Below are 9,585 nucleotides of genomic sequence, written 5' to 3' on the forward strand. Positions count from 1 at the left end.
GGCCAGAGCTGTACCCTTGAATGGGGTTTTGGGTTTTTTTGTTTGTTTTGTTTTGTTTTTGAAACAGGGCCTCACTCAGTCACCGAGGCTGGAGTGCAGTAGTGTGATTTCAGCTCACTGTGACCTCCACCTCCCCGGTTCAAGCGATTCTCCTGCCTCAGCCTTCTAAGTAGCTGGGATTACAGGTGCACACCACCATGCCCGGCTAATTTTTGTATTTTTAGTAGAGATGGGGTTTCACCATGTTGGCCAGGCTGGTCTCAAACTCCTGACCTCAAGTGATCCACCAGCCTCAGCCTCCCAAAGTGCTGGGATTACAGTTGTGAGCCACTGCGCCTGGCCGAATGGGATTTTTAAAGCATTTGCAAATACTTGCAGTCATTAATTCATTTTATTAATAACAGTAGTCTTTAAAAGCATCTGGAAATCACCTGGGCAGCAGTCTAGGCCAGCTCTCTCACTGGGGTAGTGGCCAGGTCAGCCAGGGCTACCCCTTAAGTCAGGATCAAGGCAATCCTGGCACTTGCCTTCCAGTCAGGCCTTTTTGTCTTCTGCCACCTCGGTTTAAATTCTGCCAAAGAAGTTTTTGAAATTTTGTTACTGTCACATTTAAGATTCAGAGCTAAAATAAAAGGAGACCCTCCCTGGTTTGAATTTAGATGGTTTCCGCATCCCCTAATAAATACCTTGCCCACACATTCTTAACAGAATCCATTGTTACAACACCATGCTGAATATCCCTTGATACTGTGGGGCTTTATTCCCTTGTTCAGGCCAATAGTTATGACCTAGCAGTTGCTGTTAATTAGCTGCACCCTTCCTTTTCTCTCATTCATTCCTGACTTCTCTCGACATTTATTCAGTGCCTTCTGTGTTTCCTGCACTGTGCTGAACACTAGGACCACAACGGTAATTAAGCTGGGGATGACTCTCTCTGCAGAGGATTTGGTGATTAGCAATCCGACACTTAAAGGATGAGCAGAAGCTGGGGTATTGGGTCATGGCATTTTCTCAGAATATAAGGAAGTACAGTGGCTGGAAGCAGGGAACGGGGGCGTTGGGGGTGGGAGGTGGAGCTAGAGGCTGGGGCAATAGCAGCGGGGAGTTGCACACATACAGTTCTGTAAGAACTGTACCAGGAAGGCATTAAAGAATTTGAAGGAGAGAGGTGACAGGATTGGCTTTGTAGTTCAGAGTGATTGCTTTGATGTGGATGGTTTCTCTTTGTCACAAGCAAAGAGGGTGGTGCCATCTGAAAGTCTCTGTGAATGGCTGTGGTCAGTGTCATTCACTGTCCTCTAATTTTTTTCAGGAAAATCCCACCAGTGCCCAGTACCACCTCACCCATCTCCACACGTATTCCTCACCGGACAAACTCTGTGCCGACATCACAATGTGGAGTCAGCTATCTGGCAGCAGCCACCGTCTCTACATCCCCAGTCCTGCTCTCATCTACCTGCATCTCCCCAAATAGCAAATCGGTACCAGCTCATGGAACCACACTAAATGCACAGCCTGCTGCTTCAGGGGCGATGGATCCTGTGTGCAGTATGCAATCCAGACAAGTGTCCTCTTCATCCTCATCCCCTTCCACGCCCTCTGGCCTTTCCTCGGTTCCTTCCTCCCCCATGTCCAGGAAACCTCAGAAATTGAAATCCAGCAAATCTTTGAGGCCCAAGGAGTCTTCTGGTAACAGCACTAACTGTCAAAATGCCAGTAGCAGTACCAGTGGCGGCTCAGGAAAGAAACGCAAAAACAGTTCCCCACTGTTGGTTCACTCTTCCTCCTCCTCTTCCTCCTCCTCCTCTTCTTCTCATTCCATGGAGTCTTTTAGGAAAAACTGTGTGGCTCACTCTGGGCCTCCCTACCCCTCAACGGTAACATCTTCCCATAGCATCGGCCTCAACTGTGTGACGAATAAAGCAAATGCGGTGAACGTCCGGCATGACCAGTCAGGGAGGGGCCCCCCCACCGGGAGCCCTGCTGAATCCATCAAGAGGATGAGTGTGATGGTGAACAGCAGTGATTCTACTCTTTCTCTTGGGCCATTCATTCACCAGTCCAATGAACTGCCTGTCAACTCCCACGGCAGTTTTTCCCACTCACACACTCCTCTAGACAAACTCATAGGAAAGAAAAGAAAGTGCTCACCCAGCTCGAGCAGCATCAACAACAGCAGCAGCAAACCCACAAAGGTTGCCAAAGTGCCAGCCGTGAACAATGTCCACATGAAACACACAGGCACCATCCCAGGGGCACAAGGACTGATGAACAGTTCCCTCCTTCATCAGGTAGGAAATGGACTGTGAGCCCCATGGGAATGCCCATTTCTTCTCCCTTAAGATCTTTTGTCAGCTCAGAAATGTGTTTGGTTGGGTTGGTTGGTTGGTTTGTAAACAGATATTCAGCTTCATGGTGTCTTCTTAAAAAAAAAAAAAAAAAAAAAAAAGGTTCACGGCCGTATGAAGGTAAAACAGGCTCTTCTGCCAGAATTTCTGGTGCCTTTGGAAGATGTTCTTCAGTAAAGAAACTACAGTAATGCATTTTTAGTAGAGCTGCAGAAAGCATCGGTTGTGACAGCAAAATCATAATTGGAGGGTAGCCCCTTTATGAAATAGCCAGTAATGTGTTATCCCAGTGCTGTGAAGTGTGTGCCATTCGAGGCTTTAAGGAAGGAAGCAGGCATTGTTTCCTGGATAGTGGTTCTTTAGTATGTTCCGCTGAGGAAAGCTGCGCTAAAATCAAACTGATCTAGAAAGGGGTGATTTAAGATTTAAAATGAGGCTGGGTGCAGCGGCTCACGCCTATAATCCCAGCACTTTGGGAAGCTGAAGCAGGTAGATCACTTGAGGTCAGGAGTTCAAGACCAGCCTGGCCAACATGGTAAAACCCCCGTCTCTACTAAAAATACGAAAATTAGCTGGGTGTGGTGGTGCACGCCTGTAATCCCAGCTACTCAGGAGGTGGAGGCAGGAGAACTGCTTGAACACGGGAGGCGGAAGTTGCAGTGAGCCAAGATCGCGCCACTGCACTCCATCCGGCCTATGAGACTATGTCTCAAAAAAAAAAGAGCATTTATTATTTTTCCCTCTCAAAAGAATTTCAGATATTCTGGTTAAATCTCACCCCATATTTTCTCTTCCCGTTTTTGAGGGAGGCAGGAAAACAGGATTCAGTATGGGCATAGCAGAAGACTGAAATCTCATTCCAAGCTCATAGTTAAAAAGAAGTCTGCATATGAACCCATCAGTAGAGAAGTGGCTAAGTGGTTGTGGGATTCATAATTAACCATGACTTTCTCTCTTAGGCTGTATTTTTGTCTCGTCCCAGCTCTTCTGCCTGTTACTGACCTCACCTGTAGCTGTTTCTTCCAGCTTCCTTTGCTCTAACTTCCAGCTCATCTCTCATCTTGTTATTTTATTCATCAGGATATCTCCTCACCTTGCTTACGAACAGGAATTTCAGCAACATCACCCCAGAGCCCTGACTTAAAATGTGAGGCTCTTTTTCATGATTTTTTTTCCCCTTCCTCGTCTTCAGAACTTAACTCAAATGCCAGCCGGGTTAGGACTTTTTCAGAAAATACCAAGAAGTTTCTTAGTATTTTCGTAGTGTGATATAATTTTCCTCTAATATTTGGGTGAATTAACACCCATTGCCAAAGGTATGGGGAAAATATTTGTGAATTTAACTAGCTGCATGCATTATGGGTTATTATATGTTGTTTGGCATTCTGATCATGGGATTCCTGGACAAATGAGAAGTGTGCTTTTCCTTCTTGGTTTGTAGTTACTCATTACAGTTTATAAGCATAACAGTCCAATATAAACACAGAAGACATGGTGTGCCGATTCTTCAACGCACCGTCTTTGAGAGAGACATGATCCCCACGGAAGGGGCATTCCATTGTGCTGTAATGTCCATCTCACATCTGTATTAGTGAGCACACTGTCTTCATTTAGACAGGAGTGTAGATCTTAATGCCCACAAGTAACAAAAAGGACAGAAGGGGGGGGGGCCAGGTGGGGCACAGCAGAGATTGACAGTGCCTACTAGAAATTGGGGGGACATGGAGCAGCTGCTTCCAGACATTTGTTACCAGTTTTAAAGAGAGGCTGCAGATCTGGACTTGCATGTGAAATTTAGTTGAGATATATGTGTGTGTGTATATATATATGTATACACACACGTATACACACACACTTTTTTTTCTCTTCTTAAATCTGGTATAGCCTATGTATCTGTGGGCCATCTTTGGCTCATGACCTGCCATTTTGCCACCTTTGATTTTTACCATGTAGTGGCACTATGTCTTACTAGAACAACACAGACAGCCTAACTTTGGGCTTTTTCCTTAAAATCAGTTAAAATCAGTTTCCACTTAAGTTTGTGTTTGAGAGAGATTTTCTCTGTGCAGAGGAATACTTTTTATTATGCTACACAAATCCTGGGGCAAGAGCAGGGGTGCTTGCTTAGAGATCAAAGGATCATTGAACCCCAAGAAGTATTGCACATTTTTATGTCTTTGTTCATTTATCGTATAGCTTTCATAAGAATCTCAAAGGGACTCGTGACCCCAAAATGCTTTAAAGAATGCTGCTGTTACAAAAGTAGGGACCTCTACTTGCTGTTCCTTGTGGAGCTGCCATTAAAACAAAAATAACTGGGCTAGTTGAAGTTTTCTAAACAAGGGGATGAAGAGTGGGACATGCTGGGAAGCCTAGGAGATGATGGGGTTGGGTAGGCACCCCCAAGAGTCTGTTCATGGCCTGTGCCACCAAAGATGTAAAAGCCCACTGTGAATGCCAGAGTTTCCTCCTCCCCAGCATGGGCACTGCCTTGAGTGCGAACTGTCACACCTGTGTGTGCTAGCCCTTGACCTTGTTCCCTTCTCAGTTAACAACCTGGAATACCTTCAAGGACACAAAAGCACTGGAATACCTTCAAGGACACAAAATCAGTAAATAAAACCAAAAGGCAAACATAAGAGCCTTTTCTCTAAGTTAGAAACCCAGGCCTGCAACTCTTCTAGCCAGTTGGCTAGAAGTGAATCTTTGCAATGATTGTGCCCAGTAGTAGTGAAGGCATTTGAAAGCTAAGAACAAAATCTATAGCTGACTGTTCCTGGTGTCACTCAGTCAATGGAGACTTTAGTAGCGTGCAGCCTTTGGAATATTCTTGTTTAGAATCAATAGAGTGCAGTGTACAAACGCTTACTTACCATTTCATTATTTCCCCACCCCCTCTTTTTTGAAAGCCAAAGGCACGTCCCTGACAGCTGAAAATAGCACGGGGAGGAATAATGCGGACACTTTTGAGGACAAGTTACACCTCCACTCAGCACTCTGGACTCCACGATGCCTTTGAGTCTGTTTTCCCAACCTCCTGTGGGCCTCAAGGGTAGAAACCTGCCGGGCTGTTGTTTTAACGAGGATTTCCCTGAAGCTATGTCTCTAGCAGTGAGTACTCATAAAGGACACTGGATCAAGTTCAGCCACCGAATTGCTTTTATCAGTGTTAAAGTGGTCTGAACTGCTTGCTACCAATCTGTGAGAAGTTTTTGTTTTTGTTTTGTTTTTTAACTTGCAGTATATCACAGAGCCACTCTTCAAGTAGATTGGCTGGGCAAAAGAATGTTTTGGCAAGAGCGTTACTGTAGACCTTTCTCCCTCCTTCCTTTTACTACCATTTTTTTTTAACACTGTCATCTGTAGGTCACTCTCCAGCAGTTAGGCACCTTAACTGGAGACCAGAAACCTTCCAGAGAACACAGGGCTGCATCCCGAGCAACCCTCTGAAGAAGGGAATTAGGCTTTAGATTTTGATAGCAATGTTCCAGGAATGAAATATAGATGTTAGCCCAAGACACCATGACAAAATAGCCCAGCCTTTTGAGAGTAATTTGGGAAAAGAAGCTGTCAGAAGTTTCTAACTTACAAACTGGTTTGAAATTTTTGATGCCCAGACAGCAAGTATAAATCATTTTGGAGGCTTACTTTTCATGATACAAAAGCAATTCTGTGTGATTTTTTTTTTTAAGAAGAAAGAAAATGCAAGCTAGTTTTGAGAAAGGAAGGCCAAATTGGGTCGGGGGAGGGTGGGAGTGAGGAAGTTAAAATCACTATAGGGAGAAAAAACTTTTTTCAAGATTTCCAAAGAGATGAAATTTTCTTAATCCTTTTAAGTTTTCATAGTAAACAGTATGGCAGATTGGGTTGGTTGTCCTACCTGGTCTATTTTTAAAAGTCACCTTTTAAAGTGACATTATTAGATACACTTAAATGTTTCCAAGGCACTCTCTACATTACCCTTGTTTTTCTCTTTGGATACTGTCCTGGGACTAAGTGTAGATTTCTGCTTCAAGCACTTCTGGCATTGTGTGTTTTTGTATGCACTCCCCTTCATGCCACTTCAGATGTTTATTTGGATGTGGTTGGGGACGAGAGCAGACACCAAGGAAAGGGAGTTGGAGAGAATGTAAGTCCTGACCTGAAGGTCTTTTGTGATGCATGTATAGGATTGCCCTGACACACACCCTCCTTTCTTGGGATTATACCAGCCATCTTCCTGAGAGTTTTGGAGCCCTCTAGGATATTTTTTCTAGTACCCCACCCCCCACCCCTAAAGAAAGACCTTAATATGTTAAAACAGCATTGCTTGGAGAAGGTGTCATTGAATTCCGGGACGAGCCGGAGCCTTTAAATGGGTGCTTCCACCACTACAGGCTCCTGACACGAGTAACAGGCACTGTTGCTTAGAAGAACACACGAAGTTGCCGAACACAGGGTAAAATTTCCAAGGCGCTGATCGTTGCCCTGGCCAGGGCCTGATGAGAGCCAGTCAGTACATTCTTTTTTTCCTACAGTTCTTGGGTTTCAAACTTCAGTTTCAGGGAATTTCAAGTCAACAACAGGTAGAATGAATAAACTTGGTTACCAGCCTAATAATGTGAATTGCTACAGAATTATTCTTATTATGTAAGAAAACAAAAACTTTATGCAGATACTTTAGCTATAAATTGATGTAAAATACTGATTTTTTTAAAGGAAGGAGAGAACAGTATCTTGTTCAATTATTATGCAATCAATCAGTAAATGTTTTTAAAATGATACTACAGGAGAGCTTAGTAAGGAGAGGGCATGGATGGGCCAGTTTGGCATAGTTGGGAGAAATCAGTCTGGTTTCCATCCCAGTCGGGGAAGAGAGAGGTGAGAGGGAATCAGAACGTACCTAGTTGATTCCTTGGTGACAAGTGCAATGGGGTATGGGTAGAATTTATTTTCAGAGCCAAGAGGACTTGATGGTTATAAATAAAGTTGCCTTTAGCAATGGAATTTACAGATCGATCATGTTGTTCCGAAAGATGTGAATAGGATCCACAATAACAAGTTGATTCAGACTAATGTAGATATTTAGATTAGCAAGTATTGAACATTTGATTTCTTAGACTGAGGTTTTAAATGAATTTCATTATTTCTCCCGGTAATACACAGAGCATCGGGATTAGGAAATTAGCCATTTTGGATTCTGTCTGCCACAAACAGACCTATTCTAAACAGTGCTATTAAATTTTAGACTGTTGTTCAAATATTTTATTTTCTCCTAAACTACTTTTTATGGTGATGAATAATTAAGACCATTTAAAACACGGGAGTACAAGTATTTTTTTGAATTAAATTAACTTGCAAAAACCAAATTTGCAGTGGTTGGGTTGTTTCTAGACAGACTTTGGTATCAATTTAAAACCAAGATAATTTTTATATTCTTTCCAATAGAATTTCATGACAACTCCTGCAGTTTTCTTAACCTACAAAAAAAAAAAAAAAGTGCTGCAATGATGAACAAAGAATTATACAAAACCTACTTTTGTATCTTTATTTTGGAATTTCTTGTTCTATTATAAATATGGAAGTATCCCTATTTCAGAAGACATATTTTGTTAAAAATGAATTGTACATATTTAAATATGTATTTTTGCACAGGTCTTTTTTTCTGATATCCTGTTTTGGTACAATTGAGATCATCTAGTATTTATTTATTAATTAATAAAAGTAAATACCTTTTTATAATTTGAAGTGGTTCACTGCCAAGCCAATAGTTCTAGAACCTGCCTCCTTTACAGTTTTAAGGGATGCCTCTGTTCTGTGAAAAGTCTTTGTCCCTTTTAGTGTCTCGGGAGTGGATTCATACAGATGAAGTGGGCATTGCTTCTTCCTGGTTGCCTGGTTTCCCGATAGACTACATGTAACTAAGTGACACACTGCTTTTCTTTTGTTAGTATTTTATGTGTGGGAGTATGTGACTGCGTGTGTGTGTGCCTGTGCGTGTGTGTGTATACTCAGCACATGTATGTTACTATGTGATGTGGTTTAAAACTAATGGAAAAAACTGAAAGTGCCTGAAACTAGTTTTAAGCTTAGACAGAATCTCTTTAAAAAGACTTGAATGTTCAGTTGAACTTTTGGAGTTTGCTTTTTCCACCTAAATATTGTTTCTAAAATTTTAGGGGCGGAGTTGAAAACCACCAATGCTGGTAATTTTATAAGGTATTTTAAAATTAAGACCTCTTGGTTCATAGTAATTCAATTGGTGATGGATTGCCTGGTGGCACCAAGGGTTACAGATCTTTTTGTCAGCCAGCAACTTACACGATGTGTCCGTTTTGTTATTCACTCATGAAATACAATTTAAAATATTTAAAATATTTTGTATTCCAAAAATATAATACAAAGAAGTACCTCTGAGAACATTGAAAAAAATGTATAATTTGAAAAATGTAACTTATAAGGGCAGCTGTCTTCCTGCAAGAGTTCTGTTGCCAAGGAATTTCTTAATGTCGCTCATTCTGTCCAGGGGGTTTGGGGCGATTGGGCTTTGAAAAAATATTCTTAAAAGTTTGTTTAGCAGAAAATAATCACTTTTACATTTTGTGCAAAACATTTTACATTTTCAGATAATTTAAATGAGCACTACATACTGTCAGTGTGAATGTAGGGCCTTGAAAGCATTTTGCTTTTTTTTTTTTTTTTTTTTTTTTGAGCTTGGTTATAAAAGCAATCTCCTGTGTTAAAAACGTGTGAATAGTTTGATAATTTGTACACATAATCAAGAGCATCTCAGCTGGACTTTGTGTTGGCTGCTGTATAGAACATGAACAAATGTCAAGGGATAGAAAATTACTTTGGATATTTAAAAGAGAAGAAATATATAGTCTATTTGTTTTGTAACAAGTTTCTGTAAATAAAATAATTTATACTATTTATAAGAAAAGGTTGTGCTTTGCTTTATAAGAAATTAGCTTGTGGAACAAACATGTTACTAAACGGGCAATAAAATTAGGACTTCTCAATAAATAAGGTTGGCTGCATGAAATATTGTACGTTTCTGCCTCGTTGTGATACTAAACCCTTTCAGTCTACTCTGACTTTTCATCACTTTTGGCATGGAACACCCTTGTGAAGCCCCTTCAATTTAGCCTTCCTCTTATATAAGCTAAATACTTCTAAGGCCTGGGGATGTTTCCATCTGGGGGCACAAAGCTTTGCTTTGGATAAATTAGTAACTGTGTAAACAGTGAACATTACT

The 9,585-nt window shown here is 41.4% G+C and overlaps 1 protein-coding gene across 5 annotated transcripts in view, besides 1 other annotated feature; it reads left to right on the forward strand.

Annotated features, from left to right (window-relative positions):
* The window catches only part of ATXN7 (ataxin 7), a 140,319-nt gene extending 131,049 nt beyond the window's left edge, over positions 1–9,270 (forward strand). For 4 of the 5 annotated variants that reach the window (NM_001377405.1, NM_000333.4, NM_001377406.1 and 1 more), the window contains 2 exons: positions 1,313–2,291; positions 5,258–9,270. In NM_001377405.1, the coding sequence (NP_001364334.1) occupies positions 1,313–2,291; positions 5,258–5,275 (997 nt within the window). In that variant the 3' untranslated portion in view covers positions 5,276–9,270. Of the gene's footprint in view, positions 1–1,312; positions 2,292–3,428; positions 3,496–5,257 lie in introns of all 5 variants that reach the window. The other variant, NM_001177387.1, reaches the window with a different exon arrangement.
* Positions 6,252–6,753: an enhancer, noted in NCBI's record as "NANOG hESC enhancer chr3:63986120-63986621 (GRCh37/hg19 assembly coordinates)". NCBI's record gives its function as "activates a minimal SCP1, AML or CMV promoter by ChIP-STARR-seq in primed H9 embryonic stem cells {active_cell/tissue: H9 hESC(primed)}" and the evidence as "EXISTENCE:reporter gene assay evidence [ECO:0000049][PMID:30033119]".

Source organism: Homo sapiens, chromosome 3 (genome assembly GCF_000001405.40).
Source record: "Homo sapiens chromosome 3, GRCh38.p14 Primary Assembly".
NCBI lineage: Eukaryota > Metazoa > Chordata > Mammalia > Primates > Hominidae > Homo > Homo sapiens.